The sequence below is a fragment of the Homo sapiens genome, chromosome 13 (assembly GCF_000001405.40).
Source record: "Homo sapiens chromosome 13, GRCh38.p14 Primary Assembly".
Lineage (NCBI taxonomy): Eukaryota > Metazoa > Chordata > Mammalia > Primates > Hominidae > Homo > Homo sapiens.
Window position 1 is genome coordinate 109,272,052 of NC_000013.11, and position 26,647 is coordinate 109,298,698.

At 42.0% G+C, this 26,647-nt stretch overlaps 2 long non-coding RNA genes across 4 annotated transcripts; both read left to right on the forward strand.

The window, feature by feature from the left end:
- Positions 1-151: 151 nt before the first annotated feature.
- Positions 152-6,461, forward strand: LOC130494219 (uncharacterized). Its single transcript, NR_185888.1, has 2 exons — positions 152-368; positions 5,580-6,461. It is a non-coding gene; the product is annotated as an uncharacterized LOC130494219 (long non-coding RNA).
- A 3,460-nt stretch (positions 6,462-9,921) lies between these two features.
- On the forward strand, positions 9,922-25,636 carry LINC00370 (long intergenic non-protein coding RNA 370). 3 transcript variants are annotated; one of them, NR_170228.1, is made up of 5 exons: positions 9,922-10,226; positions 14,306-14,366; positions 15,290-15,464; positions 15,652-15,747; positions 25,127-25,636. It is a non-coding gene; the product is annotated as a long intergenic non-protein coding RNA 370 (long non-coding RNA). The 3 variants fall into 3 exon arrangements; NR_170229.1 differs by lacking the exon at positions 14,306-14,366; NR_170230.1 differs by lacking the exons at positions 14,306-14,366; positions 15,652-15,747.
- The last annotated feature ends 1,011 nt before the right edge of the window (positions 25,637-26,647 follow it).

Genomic DNA, 26,647 nt, shown 5'->3' on the forward strand with positions numbered 1-26,647 from the left:
CTATTTGCATAATTAGATTAGGGTGGGGCAACCAGCCTTCCCCCGCACACTATGTAGACGTCATACCTGATGGAACCAGTCTGTGAGCCCTATGTAAATCAGACACCGCCTTCTCCAACTTATTATATCTGTTTTGGTCCACTGCCTCCCCACTTTTCAGATGTCTCTCTCTCTCTCTCTCTCTAAGAGCTGCTCTCCTCTCTCCTTTCTTCTATCTATTAAATTTTCCACTCCCTAACCCACCCACATGTGATTGTGTCCTGAATTCTTGGTGTGTGACGATGAACCCCAGGGTGTATACCCCAGACAGCACAGCCACTTCACCAGCAGGGACAGCAGCTGTCACATGAACTGGAGATGAACTGGAGGTGAGTCTGATGTCTCGGAATTTTGAGGAAAGTGGGTAGAAAGTTGCCAAGCAAGCTGAAGAGACAAGCAAAAGGGATCATATTCCAGAAGAATTCTTAGCAAGACCACAGTCAGAACTTCAATCAAGGTGATTGATTGGTCTGAAAGGGGGAATAGAATGTAAATAAAATACAACCATGAGAAACCACATGTATGTTGTTGAACCTTATCTAGACACTAACTGTGAAAAAGCCAGCTTGGATTATTGATGAACGACATTCAGAAAACCACAATTTTGCCATGCTTATTTAGAGAACAGAGACAGTGGTATTATCAGCCTATAGCTCAATTGTAAAATTGGGATGACTAGATGTCCCGAGACTATTCTGTTCCTCGGCCCTCTCGACACTCACCTAAGAAGCTTCCAAATTTACCACTTCTCAGTCATTGTAAGGATGCTGCATGTCATAAGGATGATTATGGAAGATTATGGGCATGTTCTACATAGAGAACAAGAAAAGTCACAATATTTTCTTTTATAAATTTATATTTTGGAATTTATATTAGTTCCCCTAACTCTAAATAACCATGGGAATATTGACAAATTTGATTTTCCAGAACTTTAAAGCTGAGGCTAGACACTAACCACAGTGACTTTATCTATGTAGTAGCACACTCTACCAGCTGGGATGTCTGGATAACAAGTTCCCCAGATTGCAGCCTCCCTCCAGCACCAAGTAGGATTACGAGTCTGTTTGGTTTCATTTTAGCTATGTAGATTTGTCAAATTTTGTCACCTCTGGACTTCAGTTTTCTCATATGTAAAATGATGCATTGGCCTGAATGTTTTCGGAGAACCTTCAATCTCTGTGAGTCTCTTCACTGAAAAAATTGTTGACTTTCTTTTTTTTATTGTTCTGTTTTTCTTTTCTATGTCAAAAAAGCACTATGGTAAAAGTCTTTCAGTAAAACTTGAACCTTGGGGCTTGTTCCTGAGTTTGACATGTTAAACAAATGAAAGAACTGTTTTCAACTGATTAGTCATATCCTTCAATTCCTACGGGAATATGGGTTCGTTGTGCATGAGAAAGTCAGCCAACTTTGGCATGAAGATGTCTTTCAGGTAGGTAGGCCACCTGTGATGAAGTGAATCATTGAAGAAAGTCTATTTTCTTGTGGCATAAATACAAGCCTGAAGATTACACATAAGCTGTCATACACGTACCTCCTAAATGCAATTCCTCAGAAGTGACATGCTATCATCATTCACATTAATGTCTATTTGTGCAACTACATTGTTTAAAATAATCAACCAATTCATCACAATAGATATTTGGGAGGAGTGAGGGAGCTTTCTCTGTACTAATGAAAGAAATGACATTTCTGTTTACCATTTGTCAGTTTTAAGTAGTTAATAAATATCTGAAATGATTTTCATATTTTGATATGGTATTCACTTGTAAGGATATGCAATTTTTAAGAGTTATGGTGAGAATGTTTCTTCCATAACATTCAGCTTTGAAAAGTTTTAGGAAACTATTCATTATGTCTCAAAAGTTAAATGCACGACAAATGAAATGCCTCTTATTGGTTGCAATTTTCTAAAAGTAAGTAATGCCTATTACTTTGATATTTAACTCAAATATATTAACAATAATTGAAAGCTTTTGAGTGCTACAGGTTGATAATAAACCTGAAAGTATAGAATAATCATCTGTATTTTAAAATTTTTATTCTTAAGGCCAACAAAACAAAGTAAGAATTATGTCAGTGTTTCTAACTGTCCTACCCAGATCTAGCTCCTGACTGATAATTGTCAACAGAGTCAAACACGCCTTCCTAAGGCCAGCTCCACTTCTCCAAAGCAAGCTCCTCTCACTTTGCCACCCAGAAGCCACACTGGAACCTGGAATCTAAAGAATGTGTTTGCATTATCAAAGAACTCTCCCTCTCCTAAAGGGTCCACCCTGGGATTCCATTCTAGTGACTTGACAAAATGCTTCTAATTACTCCTTAGTTAGTTCCCATAATCCGCTTAAGGACTTGTTTACTTGTTGACAGGCAGGGTAGGAATTCAGCCTTGACAGTCTGTGTCAGTGCAACATCATAAATAAGATAAACATTATCTGAAGTGATCACAATGTTCTTGAACATCTGTGCAACATCATAAATAAGATAAACATTATCTGAAGTGATCACAATGTTCTTGAACATCTGAGCCGGACAGAATCAAGCCTGCGTCATCTTCCTTCTGATTTTCCAAATGAGCACACAGGAGAGGCCACTCTAAAGTCACCCTGGGAATGTGTCTGCCTCCAGCCCCATTCACGGCCCCTGGCACTGGCTTGTCATGAGATGGTGTTCAATGAATGCTTGTGGAATTGAATGAACACAATGTGGATTTACACCCTTTCCTGTCAAATAGCTAGTTCTAAAAAATACAGACCTGCACTTCAGCCATGCAATGCCTTTTAAGATGTTTCATACTCTGATGCAGAGGAAGATGTCTCTTGCCATTACAGAACCACACCGAGAAAGATCAAACAAAATCACACCAAGAAAATTCATGTGCAGATCATCTCATTTGCAATTATTGCAGCATGCACCAAGTCCAACACATTTCACCCACACTTTATCAGCAAAAAAGAAAACACCTGAGGGTCAGCGTCTTCTCCAGGTCCTGGCACAGGACTACCTGAACCACGGAGATGTTCAGTGGGTTGTGTAAATGACATTCCTTTCATGGAGACGAATGGGCACATGGCGTCTAAAAGCCATTCTGTAAGACATATTCCAAAAATAATTGTTTTAGTACCTTTTCAGACTGTGCATTTAAAAAAAAAAAAAGCCCTTAGCCTCTAGGTCACATGTACCAAACAGTAGTTCATTACGATGCAATACGGCCCCGCCACACTTACTAATTTTATACCAAGAGGATGAAATGATGTTGTCTAGGGAACAGGATAAGAGGAAAGGGGTTTAGGAACTCAGAATTTTATTCTGGCTCTGATGCTAATTTTCCTGTGACCTCAGCCAAGTCCTATAAATTGTTACTATCTGCAAAGTGAAGATAATGGACAAGTCTCACAGGATAGTTGTGGAGATTAATTAGGCAGCTCATTTGAGATTCAAAGTGCTGTGAGCCCACAAGAAAAGTCCTGGGGAAGAACAAAGGCGGGGCCCACGCTTCGTTTCAGCAGGCCGGGGACCACACCAAAGGCACTTCAGGGATGCATTTGGTGGCACCCCGGTATTTGTTAATTTACTGGTATTAGGAAGTCATTATGGTTACCAGGGGTTAATGGAAAGATTGAACTTGCTAAAATGGGCCATAGAGGCGTAAATCGAGGGCTCCTTTGTTCAAAGGAGGATTGGGCCCTTCAGCATTAAGCCTAGCTGCAGTGTGCTTCCTGGCCTTGCAGATATCTTTCAGAAATCCAAAGCAGGCTGTTGGTAGCATGAACATTTTATTTTTCAGTGAAAAATGAAATCTTTTACTTCTCAATATGTCCAAGAGAAAAATTATTTCAGAGAAAAAAAAGAGAACAAGTTAATTAGTATGCCTTTAGTGATCCTCTGATGGAAGAGTTCCATCCCTGCATCCCTTACACCTGCAGCTAGGGGGTGAATGCTCACATGCGTGCACACACACACACACACGCACACACACACACCGAGCTGAATGAGAAGTCTAGGAAGAAGCCAGCGTAACACTCAGGGAAGGAGCCCAGAGGAGTCTCCAGCTTGCACAGAAGGAACTCATGTGAAGTGCACAGCATATAGAATGAAATAGATCCCAGAGTTTTCAAAGCGAGGCTCAGCTTTGCAAGAGAAGCTCAAATGAATACAAACCAGTCAGGGAAGTTATAGAAGGAAGTGAGATGTTTGACTTTTTATGAAAGGTGTCTTTTGAGGGCAAATTTTGTGAGAGTTGTAAGAGGGAGGGAGGAGTATGGATAAAGATCAAAAGTACTACATTCCCTAGGCCTGTTTCCATGTCCCTCTCTTGGTGGAGGCCAGAGTGTGCATTTCAGTAGGTGCACTAAAATCCTGACATCTCTAACCAGCCCCGGTCGTCCTATTTGAATATGGCTCTATATAGATGACAGGCATGAAAAGCCACACGTATTGCAACAGCCATTCAGTCCTTGAAAGAGCACTGCAATTCTACCTTGCCAGGAGAATCTACTTTGTAAAGAAGAAAGGAAAGAGGGAGAAAGATAAGAGCAAGCCGTAAATAAAGCAGGACTAAGAAATGAAGCAGGAAGATGCCGCTTGAAGGACAATACAAGATGAGTAACAGGGACCAGAACACGCTACCCTAGAATATGACATGCTGGCATTTAAGGAGACAGCAGAAGCAGGAAGGTCTCTCTGACCTTCTTCCACCATTCTCCCCTGAAGCAGGCCATGAAAGAATTCTCTGGCCTTTCTCTAAAATAAGTCATAAGACTCTCATTACAGAAGACTGTTCCTTATATTGGGGGGAAAGGAATGAAGACAAAAAAACACCAAGACGAATCTGAACAAAGGCCTTGCTAAGTTCCCCTCATTTTATAACCATTAGGTCACACCCACTTTGTCCAATCATATTTCTGCATGACTGTCCAAGTCTTCATCAAACCTAAACATCCATAGATTTCCCTGTTTCCTTGGGTCTTCATTTCTGAAGGCTCCCATGTTACATAAAACTTACATTGAATACATGTATGTGCTTTCTTCTTGTGCATCTGTCTTCTGATATAGTGAGTCTCAGCCAGGCACCTCCATGGCTGAAAAGCGTAATCTTTTCTCCTCTAGGCCCCCTTTCTGCCCATTCCACTGGCTTGCACAAAGTATTGGAATACTTATTGAAGTGTCGAGTTCTAGTCACAGGGCAGTAGCTACCTTCTAGATGGGCATCCATTATTTCCACTTAATTCTCATGGCTTGAAGACACACAGTATGGTCTTGAAATGGATTAATGTCTGGAAAAGCCGACGGTGGGCCTGACACTATGCTCTGCACAACATGGATATTCTGTATCTAGACCTAAGTGCCCTCCAGAGAGAAAAGACTCATTTTTCAAGATTACTATCTCTGACATTAAGAACACTGAGCTGGGGTTTAAGGTTGCTTTCTCTCTGGTCTTGGAATTTCTGTGGCTTGGGCTGACAAACCCTGCCAGTTGTTAGGGGCAGGGTAAGGGGCAACCATTTTTCTTTAAAGTAAGGGGGGCCTTTCTCTTCCAGCCTTGCAGGAGCCTTGGTTGTCTAAGGGGAGTAACCTGGGGAAAGATCCCAAGTGCAGGATTTATCATCACAAACACAATGGAAAGGGAAGCCAGCTCCCACACACCCAAGGCAGCACGAAGCCTGTTCTTCAGAAGGAACCCTGCCCTCTCTCGGCTCCAGTCTCTCCATGGGAAGCTCTGGGCTCCCCAGCAGTGTCCACTGGCTGGCCCTGTAACTGCAGCCCAGTCTTGTCTTCTCTAAAGAACAGCATCACTGTGTCATGCAAAATCCTCCAACACTTTGACTATGTCCTACCACAACAAACCTACAACATATGTACTTGGCTTTCCAGATTTCTCATAACATAGCTCTGCCCTGCCTATTCGTAAGCATTTCCCAATATTTCCCCAAACCCACTGGGGCCACTTGGGCTTGGCAGTGCATCGTCTTCCCCATGATCACGCCCTGATGCACCTGCCTGAATGTCGCCCAGCGAGTGGCTTGCATTTCCCAAGGGATCAGACCCGTCCTGTCTCCCTACTGAAATCCTTCCCCAAAGACCTTCACTGACATTGCCATGACCCAGGGAACTCCCTCAGCATGGAATTTCTTGGCCATTTGTATTTTTGACTCCAGGGCTTCATGTTAAGTCACTGTGTTTGCTCATCACCTTTTTTAAAGAAGACCCTGCCCATCACCCTTTCAACCTCCACCTTGCTTAATTTGTCTTCATAGCATTTATCATTAACTTAAATTAACTTACATAGTTATTTAGTAATTTTCTCATGATCCTAGTGATAGATATATCCCATGACGGCCTGTACTTTGTTTATATTGTAAACAAAATGTGTCCCCATTGTCTATATCTGCATGGAAAACAAGAACACAATTAACCACAAATGTTTGCATGGCACCTATGTTGGAGCACACCATTCTAAAAGCTTTCTTTATTTTATTAATTTAATCCCCACAATAATCTGATGAGGTGAGTATAATTCTTTCTTTCCTTTTTTTTTTTTTTTTTTTGAGACAAAGTCTCACTCTTGTCCCCCAGGCTGGAGTGCAGTGGCATGATCTTGGCTCACTGCAATCTCCCCCTCCCTGGTTGAAGTGATTTTCCTGCCTCAGCCTCCCAAGTAGCTGGGACTACAGGGGTGCACCACCACATCTGGCTAATTTTTTTGTATTTTTAGTAGAGACAGGGTTTCACCATGTTCGCCAGGCTAGTCTCAAACTCCTGACCTCAGGTGATCTGCCCACCTTGGCATCCCAGAGTGCTGGGATTATAGGCGTGAGCCACCACACCTGGCTGAAGTAAGTATAATTATTACCCCATTGACAGATGAGAGAACTGAATAACAGAGGGTGCGCATAAAACCCTTATGCACACTGCTAGTATGTGGCCGAGCCAAGACTCAAGTGCAAGAGAGTTGGGTCCAGAGCTCGAGAGTTTAGCTGATGGATGCTACATCATGCATACTCAATAATTACTTTGAATGGTCAGAATAGTAAAAATCATTTTCTATCAAATGTAGGTTCTTTATGGCATGGAAGCAGGCATGCACTTTCTAATCCCACCCCCATCTCAGATCTAAGCAGGTAACATGACCCTTAGTAAATTCAGTGCCCCAGGACTAGCCAATACCACAGACCCTGTATCTGTGCACATGACTACGTGCACACGACTAAGAAAACTCTTCACCAGCTCTTCAATCTCTGCTCCATACATCAAGGAACACTTGGGAATTGCTTTGCAGGAAGAACTTTAAAAACAAAAATGATGCCTGTTAATATGTAAGTCTCTTATCAAGAAGTGCTCAGGCACATGACCTGTAGAAGCCTGATGGTAACTTGGATTTAAAGGGGCCTGGGTCCCAATGCCATTATCTTGCCAAATGACCTTGAAAAAGCCTTTAGCCATGTGCACCTCAGTTTGGTCACCTGTACAATTATGATGACACTGGTATCTCCTTCCTAAAGTCTATGTGCCTCAAACACAGTAAGGACGAAGAGACATTAACTATCATCATTATTAAATATCATCCACGACTCACATCCTACTTGGATGGGAGGAAGGGAGAGTTCTGAACATGAGACAAGTGGCCATAATACAGACTTTCTAGGATTGTTTAACCCTAAGGTTGTATGAAGATTTTTATCTACAATATTAAATAATGCCATTTGTATGTTATTCCACAAATAGTTATTGAGTGGCTAGGATGAGAAGGGATGACCTACAGTGGTAGATCTTAATCCTAATTCCTCCTTTATCGTGATTTTGATACTACAGTGTTTTGAAACCCAGGGGAACACCATTGACATTCCTAGGAGTTAGGAAAAGGAGCCGTCAGTCACAGGGGCCAGAACTGAGGCATTCAGAAACAAAAGGCGGGCTGGGCGCAGTGGCTCACACCTGTAATCCCAACACTTTGGGAGGCTGAGGTGGGTGGATCACTTGAGGTCAGGCCAACATGGTGAAACCCCATCTCTACTTAAAAAAATAAAAATAGATGGGCATGGTGGCATACACCTATAATCCAGCTACTTGGGAGGCTGAGACAGGAGAATCACTTGAACCCGGGAGGTGGAGGTTGCAGTGAGCCGAGATCATGCCATTGCAGTCTAGCCTGGCTGACGGAGCAAGACTTCATCTCAAAATAAAATATATAAAAAAAGGGAAAGAAACAAAGGCAAGATGATAACAACTGAGGGCTATTGAAATCAGAAAGGGATTCCCCAAATTTAGGGCTATGGTGACAATGTATCCACAATCACGTCAGAAGGTAAGTGGTCCTAATCTTGCAAAGGACAGAATCTATAGAATAGATAATGAACAGTTTCAGAGTATCTTTCTTCTGAGGTGATGAGAGAACATGGGACAGGGTGTTGAAGGTATAACAACAGTAAGGGTCATGGCTTCATGCTAGCCAGGGCTGGAACCTAAAGAAGAAGAAGACCAAAGATTGGAGAAAAGAGCTGAGTTTAGGTATTGTCTGAATCACAGAGAAGAACAAAACTAACCTCTCCTTCCATAGTGATACTGGCATTAGGATTGCCAAATAAAATACAGGATGCTCAGTTCAGTTTGAATTTCAGATAAACAATGAATATTTTTTTCAGTATAAGTATATCCCAAATACTGCATGTGATTTACTTATACTAAAGTATTTCTTGTATATCTGAAATTCAAACTTAACTCGGCATCCTGTATTTGTATTTGCTAAATCTGGTATGACCACTCTATCCAAGATGTCTACCTGGAGTCTCTAAAAAGAAAAGCAAGAAATGGCAGATTATAAGGTGGCAGGTGTATTAGGGTTCTTTAGAGAAACAGAATAAACAGGGTGAATACACTGTGTGTGCATGCACGTGTGTGTGTGTAGCGAGAGAGAAAGACAGAGAGAGAGAGAGAAAAACAAAAAACAAGAGTGGGGGGAGAGAGAGAGAGAGATTTATTTGAAGGATTGGCTCATGCAATTATGGGGACTGTTAAGTCCAAAATTTTCAGAGTGTACCGGCAGGCTGAAGACCAGGGAATTGTTGACGTTGCAGCTCACAGTCAAAGGCAGTCAGCTGGCAGAATTCCCGCTTCTCATGGCATTCAGGCTTTTTCTATTCAGGCCTTCTACTGATTGGATGAGGCCCACCCACACCATACAGGGTATTCTGCTTTACTCAAAGTCTGCTGATTTAAATTTTAAAATTAAAATGTAATTTAATGGAACTTAAATTTTAAAAATACCTTCACAGAAACATCATTTGACCAACTATCTGGGTACTGTGGCCTAGCCAAGTTGACACATAAAAATAACTAACACATTAGGGAAGACAGCTGGCTTCCCTAATCTGGTGAATTTGAAGCAATTAACAACATATTCACGGGAATCTCATCACAGAAGGACGTGTTAAATCATAAAGCAAAACAGCAAACACATATACTGCAACAGCACAAGTGCTCTGGGCATATGCCTTGCTAACGGGAACCTTTTTTCTTTTTTGAACCGGTTGCCTAGAGATGCTTTGTTTTGCTTTGCTTTTTTTCCTTTTTTAAAACATTGATCCTTGGATGAAAGGAAGTGAAGGTTACTATTTGTTTTATCTCCTGCTCACAACAGAATGGCTGTGAGAGAAATAGTGAATTTGAAAGGGCTTAGCTTGCTGAAGCCAAGCAGAATTCGAAGTGTCTCTAGATCACTGTAGACAAAACAAGTCGTATGGCCAACGCTTACTCATTTGGCCACATAGGCACTTGCCTGGACTCCCAGTCTACGGCTAAATTTAGCAGAACAATTGTCAGCCAGCTTCCCTGTTTGAAGGTGAGAGCTCACGGGGACAGCAAGCTCCCAGCGGGTCTTCATTTACTGCTTCATGACAAGAGGTTCCATGCTGACAGCATCTGGGGAAACCTCGCTGGGCCTCGGAGGTCCTTCCTATGGGTGATATGCCACCCACCCTGGGTCGAGAGTCAGAGAAGCGCGGCCGGTCCCACTGCTGGCTTCGCCTGCCTGTTTCCCACAGCTTCCCTCTAGTCATCCACCTACACCTGCTGCCCAGTTCCCTAGAAACCTGCCTAGTGTAAAAGGAAGCAACTCTGGAGAACAGAATGAGAAATCAGAAAGCAAGGCCCTGTCCTCTGAGTTCTGTCCTGGATGGGGACTGAGGAAGGTAAGCCCAAGCAGGGGGTGCTTCTGCCACACCCAGGTTGTGTTTATTTGTCTCTTCTGTAGATTGAGAAAAACATCTCCCTTAGCCTCCAGAGGGAGAAAACAGGGCCATATTTCCCCGAGCCATATGAGGAAAGTGGGTGATTTTGAGCTCTAATTAGAGCTGGCTCTAAGAAAACACACCATGTGCGTGAGAGCTGCTTCTTCTCACATAACCCAATTGAGGAAATTTCCCCAATTAGATCTTGTTTCTTGTCTCTTTTAATCAGCAAGACTTTATACAATGATGCTCCTACTATACTCTCATCCAATTTGCAGATCCATATATAAATAACAATGAGCATAGTAGGAAGTGTTTTATTCTTATTTATTGAGTGCTCATCCACTTCCAGATACTGTCTTGAGGAATTCACACTTACTAACATACTTACTTCTGGAGGTAGGGACTACCATGGCATCTGGCTTCAAAGCTCACTCTGTTCCTCAAGGGAAATCATTTTTTGGACATTTCATAGTAATAACTATTGACATATTAAGTCTTATAAAGCTTTTAAAGGTGTTTTTACGAACTCACCTTCTTTCCTCTTTATTACTACTTCTGAGATAAGGTGGGCTTTTGTTTTTTTTTTCTTAACATCCTCATCACCTCCATTGGAAGAGTGAGGGAGATCAGACTGGGAGAGGTTGAGGGATTAGCCTGGCCTCTCCTGGGTGTGCAGGTGAGCTGTGTGACTGTACCAGATGCTCTGTCTGCAGAGGCACAGGTCCCCTTGCCTGCAGTCTTCCAATGTAGTATCAGAAATCCAGTTCCCATCTTAGTGTCAAAGTCTTCCCAAATGCAACCATAAGCCAAAAATAAATGTATACCTTCCCTCCATAAACCATTATTCCAAATTCTTCTGCTGTTGCCAGTGACAATCATCTGCCTTCTAGTCTTCCAAAGGAAGAATCAAAGAAGATGCTTCCAAAGGAGGCATCAAAACCTAATAATCATCACTGATAATCTCTCTCCTTCTTGTGCCCATGTCCAGTTGGTTGAACAAGTGCTAACCTAGCAGTACCACATCCAGCTATGATGGGGCAGGTGCAAAGATGGAGGAAGAAAGATGGCCCCAGAGATCACGGTTTTGTAAAGTCATGAAGGAGATAACTGGAACATGAATCATTATCAACTGAGATAGGAAATAAGAGGACACAAAAGAAGTAACATAAAACATTCTTACTAATGTGAGGGACCTCACAGGAGGGCATGTTTACTTCCAAGGGTAGCAGAGAAGAAACAGAGAAGGCATATAGCATCTGAGCTGAAACTGGAAGGACTCAGGACCTACAAAAATAGGGCAAGGCTGATGCTCAGAAGTCGTAGTGAAAAGACAAAGCAATGAATGTTGTATTTTGGTTGATTTTTAGGAGGGAATGAAACTGAAGAAACTAGGGCATAAAGCTAATTTTTTAAAAAACCATCCATTCTTCTTCTCTGTCTGCGCCATCGTCACTGGGTCCAGGCCTTTATCACCTAAAGCTTAAAATGATGCATAACCTCCCATCTGTGCAGAACCGTGTGGGTGACATTGATGCCATCCAGCGCTGGTGCACCCTCAGAAATATTCATAATTTATTGTTAGTCTATGTGGACTGTTCCCAGCACTTCATGTGCTCTCTTCCTTTGCTCTTGTTGCCTGGAAGAAATATTCTACTGAATTGAAAGCCACCGCTTTCCTGTGTGCTTCCATCTCAGGTCTTCTCACCTGCTCAGTCATCATAGAGTATGAGTGTCTGTTCTCTGTCTTGTGTAGTCAACATTTTCCTTACTCCTGGATTCTTTCTATCTTCATTTAAGTATCTCCAAGTCTCTCTCATTAAAAAACGTATCTTCCTTGGGCCCCCTGAGTCCCCGACCTCATCATTCTCATATTCACCCCTCTTCCACCCCACTTCCCAACATCCGTCAGTCAGGATTCTTTCTGCTTCTTCTAATACATGGTATTCTTGTGCATACAGAGAATGCTGTTAATTTATCTTCTTGGCTTACTTTTATTAACTCTTTGGGTTTTAGATTAATGATGAATCTCTGTAAAAGTGCTTAGCTAACTTGGTCCACAATTCCCAGTTTTCCTTGAAGTTTCTGTAGAATAACATTAGCTAGGGACTCCAATAGAAGCAAGCATCACGCATACAATGTTGATTAATGGTCAATAACATAACCGCATAGTTTCAGAAGTGTATTTTTGGGAGAGACAGACATAGTGTTCACATTACAGGTGTAAACACTTGCTAACTACCATATTTCACTGAACAAAATATGGACTTTTTTTACATGCTAATATCTCTGAAGTTAGTCTTTCAGTAAGAGGCATTTTATATTGCTAATAGGCAGCATTTTAATAGTACATATATCTTATAGTTGATAATAGCTCAGATTTGATTGATTATATCATGTAACCTTAGGCAAATTACTTAATCTTTCACTGCCTAAGTTCTTACTAAATTGTACAATCTGGTAATACCCAGATCTCAGGGTAGTTATGGTAATTAAAGAAATATGTTATACATAAAGTACCTTAAACAATAATGTCTGGCATGCAGCAATTGCTCACTAAATGTTAATTATAATTATTGCCTTTTGTAGTATTCAGGGACATGAAATGAATTGAACAATATCTGATCTTTCTCAATAGACCATGCAAGAACTGCATCTATTTTATTCTCCTGTATCCCTAGTTCTTAGATGTCTGTCCTATCCTTACTTTTTTTGAGACAGAGTCTTGCTCTGTTGCCCAGGCTGGAGTGCAGTGGCTCAATCTTGGCTCACTGCAAGCTCCGCTTCCCGGGTTCACGCCATTCTGCTGCCTCAGCCTCCCGAGTAGCTGGGATGACAGGCGCCCACCACCACACCCGGCTAATCTCTTGTATTTTTAGTAGAGATGGGTTTTCACCGTGTTAGCCAGGATGGTCTCGATCTCCTGACCTCATGATCCGCCCACCTCGACCTCCCAAAGTGCTGGGATTACAGGCGTGAGCCACCGCACCCGGCCTATATATTTGTTTAGTGTGGAGTTTATGAGGGAAAATGAATACAGTATGATCATCCCTACCCGTGTGACTAATTTTTATTCCTGATTTTTCAATAAGAGATTCTCTTGTTTGTATTTCTGTTTTTCCAACAAGAAGTTTCCCTACCATCAACCTACAATAACTCCACCATCAAAAATCCAGTCCATTCAATCAACAAATACTTCATTTAATATATAAAAATCACAACATCCCAAATACACTTTAAAATACTTAAATAGCACTTTAAAAAATTAAACACAAAATTACCTTTGCCCTTCCAATGTCACCCTCCAAAATCATTGTTTATTTAGTATGAATCTTCCCAAACTATTTTTGCGATACTTTTACAAGCAAGTAGTATGCACTGAGTAAAACAGTGATTGTGCAAGATGTTTAAGCTGTCACGAGCAATGTCACACAAAACCAGGACAAAATCTCACCTGGCCAGTGGCAAAACTACCCAGTCTCCCAGGCTTCTGCCCTCATGGCTTCCTCCTCCTGATAAGGATGAAATCTGGAGAAAGTTAGGTGCACTTATTGCATACTTCCTCCATGGGTGAAACCTCTGGAAAAGGCAGAGATATTCTTGAGAGCTCAGAAGGGTCAGTGCATCCAAAGCACACTCAAGAGGCTCAAGATCCCCACCATGTATAAAATTTTAAATGCTCTCTTCTCCCATCTGCCTGGGATTAACATCAGGCACGCTCTTCTTTATGGAACTACAAATTTTTCAACCTCTCTAGATGGCCATCTGGCAAAATGAATCAAAATTCAAATGTCGACAACTTTTGATCCAGCAACTGCACAGGCAGAAACTGATTTAAAGAAAGAAAAAGACAAGTGCAGGAGTGTGTATGTAAGAATGTTCAGAGCATTGCTTTTATTTTTTTTAACATTATTTACTTATTTATTTCAATTAACAAATTAAAATTGTATATATTTATCATGTACAACAGGTTGTTTTGAAATATGTATAGATTGTGAAATGGCTCAACTGAGCTAATTAACACATGCATTACTCCACAGACATCTTTTTTTGTGGTGAGAACACCTAAAATCTACTCTCTTGGCAAGTTTCAAGAATACGGTACGTTGTTATTATCTCTAGTCGCCATGTTGTACAATAGATCTCTTGTACTTAGCCACTTGACTGACATTTTATATCCTTCTACCAAACTCTCCCCAATCCCCACCCCTATCCCAGCCCCTCCTAACCACCATTCTACTCTCTACTTCTGAGTTCAACTTTCCATAGCATCGCTGCTGAATAAAAGATATCAAAAGCTGAATTAACCACTGATAGGGGTGTTATTAAATTATTGTAGATTTATGCAAAGACCATTATGTGTCATTTTAAAACAATGAAAAAAGGCCAGGCATGGTGGTTGGCGCATGCTTGTGATCCCAGCACTTTGGGAGGCCCAGGTGGGTGGATCTCTTGAGGTCAGGAGTTCGAGACCAGCCTGGCGTACATAGTGAAACCGTGTCTCTACTAAAAATACAAAAATTAGCTAGGTGTGGTGGCACATGCTTGTAGTCCCAGCTACTGTGAAGGCTGAGATAGGAAAATCATTTGAACTGAGAGGTGAAGGTTGCAGTGAGCCGAGATGATGCCACTGCACTCCAACCTGGGCAACAGAGACTCCATCTCAAACATTAAATAAATAAATAAAATTTCAAAATAAAATAAAAAATGATAAAACAGGTCTATATTGGTATAAATTTTTTTAATGTTAAGATATTTTTTGTTTTGAATTATTACAGATTGTCCTTTTCAGAATTATATACACAAATATGTAAACATGGAGTAAATTCTGGAAACAGATTTCAAAATGTAGCGGAGTTGGTCTCTAAGAGATTACTAAGTGATTTTTTTCTTCTTTATAATTCACAGTATTGTCTGCTTTTTTTAAATGGTCATATTATCACTTTTATAATAAACTAAACTATTTTAATTTGGGAAAGTGTAAAGTCTGTCTTCACTGTGTTTTCTCTTTACTTATCTCCCAGTTTTATGTGGTCCAGAGAGGCTGCATCAGTCTCAGGCCCCTAAGCCTTGCCTGGTTCAACAGTATTATTTCACTCACGCTGGTCACCCCATTGTTAGAAAGAGCAAGGAAAGGAGGATGAGAAAGGAAGAGAGGGAGGGAGAAAATTGTCCCCAAGAAAAGGAAACTATTGTCTGGTAAGATTCAGCCCACTTTTCTTGTTAAATGATGTGAATTCAAATTGTTGATATATATCACCAACTTGACATGTGAAACTATTGTCTCAAAGCATATTATAAAATACTATATATGAAAACATTGACAAATATACTGTAGTTGATGAGTACCAGATATGATTATTGTTCTTTTCATGTGTGATTACAGGTGATGGACAGATGGTTTCCTCAATTTATATAATTTAAGATACAGATCATTCCCAATACAACTTAGAATCTCATTAGTCAGTACAATTTTCTGAAGGTAAGACTGTGAGTGTCACTCTTTCTTGTTTAAGTGGAAAGGGGTGATTGATTTCTGGCAGACTTGTTTTAAACAGTTTGCAAAATCTATTCTGGATTGGTTTCTGTGTTCCTGTGTTTTGTAGGGTTGTTATTATCACTTGGAGAAAAAAGTCCCAAAAGAAAAGCCTTGTAGAATCTAAAATGTAGGATGGTTTTTTTTTTCTCAGATTTTGCCCATTTCTGTCTCATACTGCTGATAGGCAACTGAGAGGCCCTGAAGACAGGGTGTTCTAAAAAAAAAAGTTGTTCTTCCCCCAAATCTATGACAGCTGAAAGAAAACCCACTTTCTACCTATATCCCAGCATGGAAAAATGACAACTCCACCTTGACAGAAAGGCCAGGATTCTATGAAAAACTAAATAGCCTACTATCTCCAGCTATTTCAACTCTGTCCTTCCTACACATTTGGCTGTTTGTTTATTTTTGTCAGAAAGACAGACTCAGTCTTTTGCCAGGGAATTTTCTAACATCCTGCCACCAACATCTGCACAGAATAGAATTCTTTGGAAGGTTAGATGAAAAGAAAAAAAAAAAAAACTCTCTCTGAAAGGGGTGAGAAAGATACTAGTGTTTCTGTTTGAAGCAACAGAATGTGTAAGAGTAAGTGCCAACTAAACCATATCAATGAACCCTTGTGCCTGGCCAAAGCCTCAGGCTGCAAAGGAATCTGAGGCTGCTTCACAAAGGTGAAGGAGACATGAAGTGACTTCCCGCCGTGGCCACGCAGAACGATTCTGGATAGAACAACCATTCTGCGGGCACTCACTCTCCTCCTTAAGTAAAATACTCTGAAATTGCACTTCAAAGCGTTTCTCACTTTTTATTGTTTTTCTTCTCCATCAGATTATAAATTCTAGAAAACAGAAAATATGGCTGATATATTCTCCAATATAGACTCAGTGTCTGCCACAGAGTAAATACTAAACAAGAGTTGAAGGAAAGAGGAAAGGAAGGAGGAAGGGAGGGAGGAAGGAGGAAAGGAAGAAAAGAGGAAGGGGAGAAGGAAAGGATTTGTGTATTTATCCAATTATATTTCCTCCGCCATCCACACTAGATTGCTTGCTTTCTGAAAATGCATCACGTTGGCTGGGTGCAGTGGCTCACGCCTGTAATCCCAACACTTTGGGAGGCCGAGGCAGGCAGATCACGAGGTCAGGAGTTTGAGATCAGCCTGGCCAACATAGCGAAACCCCATCTCCACTAAAAATACAAAGTAGCCGGGTGTGGTGGTGGGTGCCTGTAGTCCCAGCTACTGGGGAGGCTGAGGCAGGAGAATCGCTTGAACCCAGGAGGTGGAGGATGCAGTGAGCCGAGACCACACCATTGCACTCCAGCCTGGGTGACAGAGTGAGACTCCATCTCAAAAATAAATAAATAAAAAGAAAATGCATCACGTCATTCTATGCGGCACCTAGCACAGTGCCTGGCAGGGAGTAAAATAGTCAATAAATGTCTGCTGAATTCAGCAGATTCTTTAGTGCTCATTAGGTTAACAATAGACTAAAATTGATATCATGGTTTAAAAGAATGCTAATATAGACACGCTTATAAATAAGCACTTTAAATGAATTAGTTTCATAAAAAGAAGTTTTTGATCCATTCTGATAGCTAATTATTTCTGTCACTAAATCTACATGCCAGGCATATTTCTAAGGCTGGAGTAAGTGGCCGTCAACATGCCAGGATTGGATGGGTCAGTTTTGCACAGGCAGGCCGATTTCCTGTTCCAATCGGATTCGCTCTGGGCATATCAATTAGGAGAACGCTTGGAGGGCTAGTTCCATTGGCCTAGAAAGATTATGCCTCAACTCAGCTGTTGTGATACTTTAAGATTATTCTGTTGTCCGAGGTGGAATGACCAGCTCCCACAGTCCCCTCCTGGGAGGACAAACCCATATTAAGATGCTGTGGGAGAGGGAAGATGGGAAACCAGTATCAGATCCTATCTTCTCCCCAAAGCTCACACTCCCTGCTGCTCAGAGCCATCACTACAGCTAGATGAGCTATCTCTAAGCTACAGCATGGATGAGAACTGTCCGGGTTCAAATTTCAGCTTTACCCGGCTAGATGAGTGCTTTGAGCAGGCCAGAGTATCTTTCTCAGTTTTCCAATCTGCAAAATGGGAATAAGTAATCCCTGTCTCAAGAATAATTGTTGCAGTGATTAAACTAAAGTGAGCTCCAGCATTGTCTCATGCAGCATTAATCACTATGCACATGCGTTGCTGCTAGATGTCTCCAACGAGTCCTTACTGAGTGTCAAGAATTTTGCTAAGCACTTGAAGTGCGTCTAAAATCCACAACAAACCCATAAAGAAGGTCATAGTCCTAGTAGCAGTACCTTCTACAGATGTGGAAATTCATAGACAGATGTGAAAGACACATGCTCCACACGAGAAAGGTGGTGATTTTATTCTGGTGATTGAAATCAGGAGAATGACTCAGAAATAGCTCAAAGGAAAGAAAGGAGCCTGAGATCCCACACAAGCAGGTAGACGTGAGTCCTGTGGGAATCTGGAGGAAGAATGGACCAGGGACCTGTCACTGAGGAGAGGTACAGGAGGGGGACATTTGGAATATATGGTGAGCCATTTCCCGGCACACAGAAGTGGTGGAAGTTCTCACTGGTGCTGTTTTCCCGAAAGCACAAGACTGAGGTAAAATCCAGTGTTAAAATTCATGGGTCTGTAATCCCAGAACTTTGGGAGGCCGAGGCGGGCAGATCACTTGAGGTCAGGAGTCTGAGACCGGCCTGGTCAACATGGTGAAAACCCATCTCTACCAAAAATAAGAAAATTACCCAGGCATGGTGGCATGCGTTTGTAATCCCAGCTACTCGGGAGGCTGCGGCAGGAGAATCTCTTGAATCCAGAAGGCGGAGGTTGCAGTGAGCTGAGATGGTGCCACTGCACTCTAGCGGTTTTGGCAAAACAGCAATTACTTGTTCACCCCAATCTAATAGTAGTGATAGTAAATAGAGTCTTAACAATGATGGCAGTGCTAATAGGAAACAGTTATTGATGGTTTGCTGTGTGACACGTCCCTCATACACTAAAACCTTTGCATGCTTTATAAACATGTACAATAATCCTGCAGGGAAATTTCCTAATGATTTTTCTGTTTTACGGGTCAAAATGTCAATTTTCACAGAGATCAGATGAAACTCACTCAAGTAAAACTGACACGAAGTGGAAGCATTGGCTTTGCACCTGGGCTCTGACTTCCCATCGGATTCGCCCCGGACAACACAGAAGAGTTTCCACGCAATGAGACCTCTTTATATGTTCAGCAATGAAACAACTCTCTTGATGAGAACAAGAGAGTTGTTTCGTTGCTGCAGTTCTGTTTCTTTTCTTTCCTTTTTTTTTTTCTTTTTCTTCTTCTTCTTTTTTTTTTTTTTTTTTTTTTTTTTTTGAGGTGGAGTCTCGCCCTGTCACCCAAGCTGGTGTGCAGTGACGTGATCTCGGCTCACTGTAACCTCCACCTCCCGGGTTTGAGCAATTCTCCTGCCTCAGCCTCCCATGTAGCTGGGATTATAGGTACCCGTCATCATGCCCAGCTAATTTTTGTATTTTTGTAGAGATGGGGTTTCACCATGTTGGCCAGACTGGTCTTGATCTCCTGACCTCAGGTGATCCGTGCACCTCAATATCCCAAAATGCTGAGATTACAGGTGTGAGCCACCGTGCCCGGCCAGTTCTACTTCTTTTCTTTTCATTTTCTTGTTTTAACGTACAGCATCACACGACGTGCCTGAGTCTTCCAAGACCCCTAAGTCTTCCAAGATCTCTGGTTAGGGATGAAAACTTACATAATAGTGGCTTTAAAGATTAAGATGGTTGTCATATTAATTTTTAAAAATGGCTAGAAAAAGAGGTCAAATATACAGGAAAGTCAATCTAGAGAATATCTTTACATTGATTTCCTGATGCGCTACATATCACTGCATGCATTGAAACCTGGGATACACAAAAAAGTTATGCTGAGGTATCATCTCTAAGAATCCAATACAGGAGTGAGGTCGAGATTGCCTTTTGAGAGTAAATCCAGAAGCCAACTTAATAGATCAGAGCAGAATTAAGGCAAAATTACTTTAGGATAATGGAAGGTCTCCCTGACCACAGCAAACCTGAACTGAAGGAATTAGCTTATTAAAGAAACAATGTGTCTTTTAAAAAGAGAAAGAAGTAGAGAGTAGTTAAAGCAAAGTGAAAAGGCAAACACAGACCCGTTGCACCCAAGCCTCGTTCGGGGAAAGAATGTGGTTTTCTATAGGTACGTGACGTTCATGCCCTTCAACATCTGACGCCAACTAGTTAAACTTTCTCTTATTTCATGCTCGCTATGCATATTAAAGGCGATCAATAAAAATCTTACTGTCGGCCGGGCGCGGTGGCTCACGCCTGTGATCCCGGTACTTTGGGAGGCCGAGGAGGGCGGATCGCCTGAGGTCAGGAGTTCGAGACCAGCCTGGCTAACATGGTAAAACTCCATTTCTACTAAAAATACAAAAAATTAGCCGGGCGTGGTGGCACACGCCTGTAGCCCCTGTAATCCCAGCTACTCGGGAGGCTGAGGCAGGAGAAGAACTTGAACCCGGGAGGCAGAGGTTGCAGTGAGCCGAGATCTTGCCATTGCACTCCAGCTTGGGCAACAAGAGCGAAACTCCATCTTAGGAAAAAAAAATCACTGCAGATAATTACACAAATGATTTGTACATATCTTATTTTGTTCAGACTCATTAAAACATATAAATGTATATTCATTTACATTGAAGTTTTCACTAATGGTTGCACTAGCTGGACCTTGCCATAATATTTCTTGCATTAACACACAGATGACAAATTATAAATGGTCTGTTTCTTCCTATTTTGGTTAAGTCAGAGTAAAAATTTATTAACTCCTGTGAAACAATTTAATTCAGAAAAGGTAGTTCTAGAGTTTTCTCCTTAGTATTTCCTGTTGTCTCATCAACAATTAATTTGGAAAAAAAAAGTTTTAAAGATTAAACTATTTTGTATGAGAATATGAACTGCTGTATTTAGAATATTGTTGCAAACCCACCTTTAACTAACAGTGTTTATGATTAGAAGGAGCTTGTTAAGACGGCATCCCACCCCTACACAACCCAGGGTGGACATTGCCTGCAAGTTCCCATTAGCAGTGAAGCGCTGGTGCCACATCTCCTGGCATCTCTGTTGGAAGAACTTCATACCCTAAGCCAAGGACACAGGGTGTGCTGGGTCCTTACATTCCCCTATCCCTGGGAATGGGGTGAGATACTCCAGGGGCCCTAGGACAAATGTTCACTGAGTCAAGAAATGCCCTTAGAATTCTCCTGCAGCAGCGCCCCTCTTTCAGGCAAGCAAGGGGAGGTCTGTCTGGGGTTCTGCACTGTAGAGTGACTCATATCACACACATGCACACCCCTATACACACACCTACACACGCACCCTAACACACACCCTACACACACACATCTACACACACCCTACACACACTCCCCTAACACACACCCGATGCACACACACCCCAACACACACACACCCCTACACACACTCCCTAACCACATAACCTACACACACACCCCTACACACACACCCACACCCCATGAACATACCTACACACACACATACCCTTACACACACACCCTACACACACACATCTACACAACCCTACACACACTCTCCTAACACACACCCTATGCACACACACCCAAACACATACACCTATACATACATCTATACACACACACACCCCTACACACACTCCCTAACCACACACCCTACACGCACACCTCTATGCACACACCCACACCCCTATACACATACCTACACACACACAACCTCACACACACACATTCTACATACACACATCTACACACACCCTACACACACACTCCTAACACACACCCTATGCACGCACACCCCAACACACACACCTATACATACACCTATCCACACACACACCCCTACACACACTCCCTAACCACATGCCCTACCCACACACCCCTACACACACACCCACACCCCTATACACACATCTACACACACACAGATACCCCTACACATACACACTCCCCTAACACACATCCTACACACACACCGCTACACACACCCCTACACACACACACCTACACACACAATCCCCTACACATATACCCTAACGCACACCCTACACACATACCAACACAGTCCCCTAACATACACCCTATGCCCACACACCCCTACACACACACACCCATACACACACCTACACACACACCCATACACACACCTACACACACACACCTACACACACACCCCTATACACACACCCTAACACACACCCTACACACACACCAACACACACACTCCCCTAACACACACCCTATGCACACATGCCTATACACACACCTACACACACACATAGCCCTACACTCACACTCTAACACACACCACACAAACACCTCTACACATACACCCCTACACACACACTCCCCTAACACACACCCTACACACACACACAACCCTACACACACACTTCCCTAACAAATACCCTATGCACACACACCCCTACACTCACACATGCTCATACACACACTTACACACACACATAGCCCTACAGACACTGTCCCCTTACACACACCTGTACACACACACCACACATACACACCCCTACACACACTTCCCTAACACATACCCTATGCACACACCCCAACACACACCCCAACACACACACCTATACACACACCTACACAACTTCCCTAACACACCTCCCTACACACAGACACCTATACACACCCCTACACAAACATATCTACATACATACACACCTACACACTCCCCTACTCACACAACTTTACACACACCCCTACACACATATCTACATACATACACACACCCTTACACACACCTACCTACATACATTTACATACATACACACTCCTACACACATACCCACCTGCACACACAACCCTATACACACACCCATACAAGCACAACCCCCTACACACACACCCCAATACACAACCATACACACATACATCCCTAATACATACTCATCTACACACATACACATCTACACACACATACCTACGCAAGCACGTCTACATACATACACACCTACTGTATCAGTCTGTTTTCACGCTGCTGATAAAGGCATACCTGAGACTGGGCAATTTAAAAAAGAAAGATAGGTTTAATGATCTTACAGTTTCATGTGGCTGGGGAGGCCCCACAATCATGGTGGAAGGCAAGGAGGAGTTAAGTCACGTCTTACATGGATGGCAGCAGGCAGAGAGAGAGCTTGTGCAGGGAAACTCCTCTTTATAAAACCATCAGATCTCATGAGACTTATTCACTATCATGAGAACAGCACAGGAAAGACCTGCCCCCAGGAGGAGCAAATCATGTCTTACATGGTTGGCAGCAGGCAAAGAGAGAGGGCTTGTGCAGGGAAATTCCCCCTTATAAAACCATCAAATCTTGTGAGACTTATTCACTACCACAAGAATAGCATGGGAAAGACCTGCCCCCATGATTCAATTGCCTCCCACCAGGTCCCTGTCACAACACAAGGGAATTGAAGATGAGATTTGGGTGGGGACATGCCCAAACCCTATCACCTACACAAATGCACAGCCCCCGCCCCACAACCCTACACACACACAACCCTACAGGCACACCCCTACACACAAACACATTCACACAAAGTTATACCTGAGAACATGAGCACCCCTGCCCCTGAAAACCCAACATTCTGTGCTGGGGCAGTGCTGCCTGTGACCTTCCACATCCATTCTCATGACAAAGGCTGCACAGACAAAATTCAACTCTTGCCCACATCTCTTTCCCTAATGCCCTCTAAACAAGAAGAGATCATGTCCAGATGAAGAAAAAATTTGTGTTGTGTCCCTGTCATGTCAGACACGGGTCTTGCTTAGATGTGCAGCATGATTTAAGTGGCCCTTGAATGAGAGAAATGACAAATTAGCCAGCCACACCTGGCTGCTGCAAGGTTGCTGCAGACCTGCATAGTGGAGTCTTCTTCTCCAAGAGTGCTGACTTTCTTCCTGCTGCTCCATTTTGTGGGTCTAAAGGACCTCAAACCCTTGCCCAGTCTTCCCAGCAGCTGCAGAGGACAGCTGCAGAGGAAAAATAGTTTGCAATACTAAAAAAATTCATGTTACTATTCAATTTATATGCTATGCATTTTTAATTTTTAGTCATCTAAATATTGCTGTCCATGAAGAGAACACTGTATTAGTTTGTTCTCATGCTGTTAATAAAGACACACCCAAGACTGGGTAATTTATAAAGGAAAGAGGTTTAATGGACTCACAATTCCACATGGCTGGGGAGGACTCACAATCATGGTGGAAGGCAAAGGAGGAGCAAAGGCATGTCTTACATGGCAGCAGGCAAGATAGCTTGTGTAGGGGAACTCCTACTTAAAAAACCATCAGATCTCGTGAGACTTATTCACTAACACGAGAACAGCATGGGAAAGACCTGTCCCCTTGATTCAATTACCTCCCACTGGGTCCTTCCCACAACACATAGGAATTATGAGAGCTACAATTCAAGATGACATTTTGACGGCGGGGGACACAGCCAAAGCATATCAAACAACCAGACGCTCACAGTGCTAAAGAAATTACTTTGTCTTCAGTAGCTTGCTGACATCATTAATATTATAGATTTGCATATGCTGTTTACTTTGTAATTATGAAAATATATTTGTGAGGGAATGGGATATAGAATATTTTTTACTCAATGAAATTTTGGTACATAACCTGAAATTATTAAATGTACAATATGTGGGCCCTCACTGCTACTTTTGCCCTGTATCTGCAAGGCCCATCTGTGATGATGGTGACTTTTATAAGCAGAGCATTCCCACTTCTCTGTTTGCAGTGTTTGCTGCTAGAACCTTTCAACTTGCTCTTACATTAAGATAGTTGTTGATATGTCTTTATTTCCCCCTAAGATTATTTTCTTTATAATTGAAAGAAGAGCTCTCAAACATAGCCCTCATAGAGCTAAACAGAGCAGATGACCATTAGACCAGATGCAGCTGTCATATGTATGAAGTCTGGCCCTTTTTTTATGGAGGGAAAAACAAGTCGAAGTTACTGATATTTACAAATTGGAAAAGTTCACAACAACACTAGAACATTAGATGATCTGAAAACCCTGGCATTTCTTCAGAGCAATGATAGGCAAAGCTGAGTCTCAACTGACTCTGTCTGAAGAAGGGGCCTGCCATTTGTCACAGACTCCACTGCTTCCTTTTTCCAGACACTAAGACCATTGCTGTTTCTCACCATTCTTTCATTGCTGTTCATCAAACAACAGGTTCAATCTTTCATTTCTATTCTCTACCCTGGCAAGAACGTTGGAGCTTACCATCATAAGTGACAGGAATGAACATTGGAGCTTACCATCATAAGTGACGGGAATAGCATTATCTCCAAACCTGAGATCCTTCCAATGGGAATTCTACAACTCCTGGGAGTTTATGATTCACACATGTAGACAATGTCTGTACCTATACTCAGAGATGTAGACTGGCCTCAATAGAGTTCATTGAGCTAAAACAATACTAGGTAAACAATGGAATTTATTTTCAAGACTGAACTCAGTTCTCATCAGTTCAAGGTTAACCTCAACAAAATGAATCCAGTAATGGAAAGAAAATGAAAAAAAGAACAAACAAAACGAAATGACTGCACTACGTATTTAGGCCCAGCTGACAGAATCTCAACACTGAATGATACTGATAAATAGGTTTCCTTGTGTATCCAGTGTGAAGTCTTGGTTGTTATTCGTTTTCCAACGAACATTAAAGTCATCTTTGGATTCTCTGCATTTCTAAAGTCTGGAAATGTTTTATTCCACCCAGTGGCAAAACACATCTCAGCTATTGAGTGTTTGCATCTGAGATCTGGAATAAGCAGAACTGTGGTTTGTGTTCTTGCATCTGGGAAATGAATCAGAGCTCCTATTAGACATGATTGCCCTTATTAGTGGATGTGACTTTTCAACCAGGCCTTTGGGGGTTTTATGACTAACAGGATTGCATGGAAATTGCTCAGGAAAACAGAAGATCTTACTCTAGCAATCTGAATGAAAAAGAAATAATGCAAAATAATACTGACATTTTGATGACAAAAAGGAGAGAAAGTTTAGGCTGAGGTTGCCATGTGAGGTTATTGGATGTGATTTTGCAAAGGATGCGACCAGCTTTATGTTGAATAAACCCTGGAAGTTTAACAGTTACTGATCTTTGGCAAGGCTCAGCAAACTGCAGTCGGTGTTTCTAGCCATTGTTTTTGCTGAAATGCAGTTATCCTCATTCATTTACCTATTGTTTATAACTGCTTTCACACCACAATGGCAGAATTGAGTAGTTGCCACAGAAACCGGCTTAACATATTTACTACAGAGCCCTTGACAGAAACATTTTGTCAATCCCTGCCCTAGACAGAAGTTTCTGCCTAGATTCCAAATGATTATTTAAAATTTGACTTTGCAGCAGTGTCCCCAAGAACATGTGTGTTCTCTAGAGGTAGATGGACCTGGATATAAAACCTGGTCTGTGTGTTCAATGAATGAATATTATGGAAATGTCCACTCTGTGCTAGGTACCAGTCTAGGTGATGAGGATCAAAGAGTGCACAAGGCAGGACCCTCCACTCTCAGAGACCTTACATTCCAACAGTCCTATCAACTAATATTAGAAACTACAGGAAAGGTATTTCTCAGAAAACCTATTTCCTCAGTAGTAGGGTGTACTAGTACGTTATTTATAGAGTTACAATGGCAATTACAAGGTAAAATATGTAAAATTGCCAATACAATGTCTGGCATGAAGAA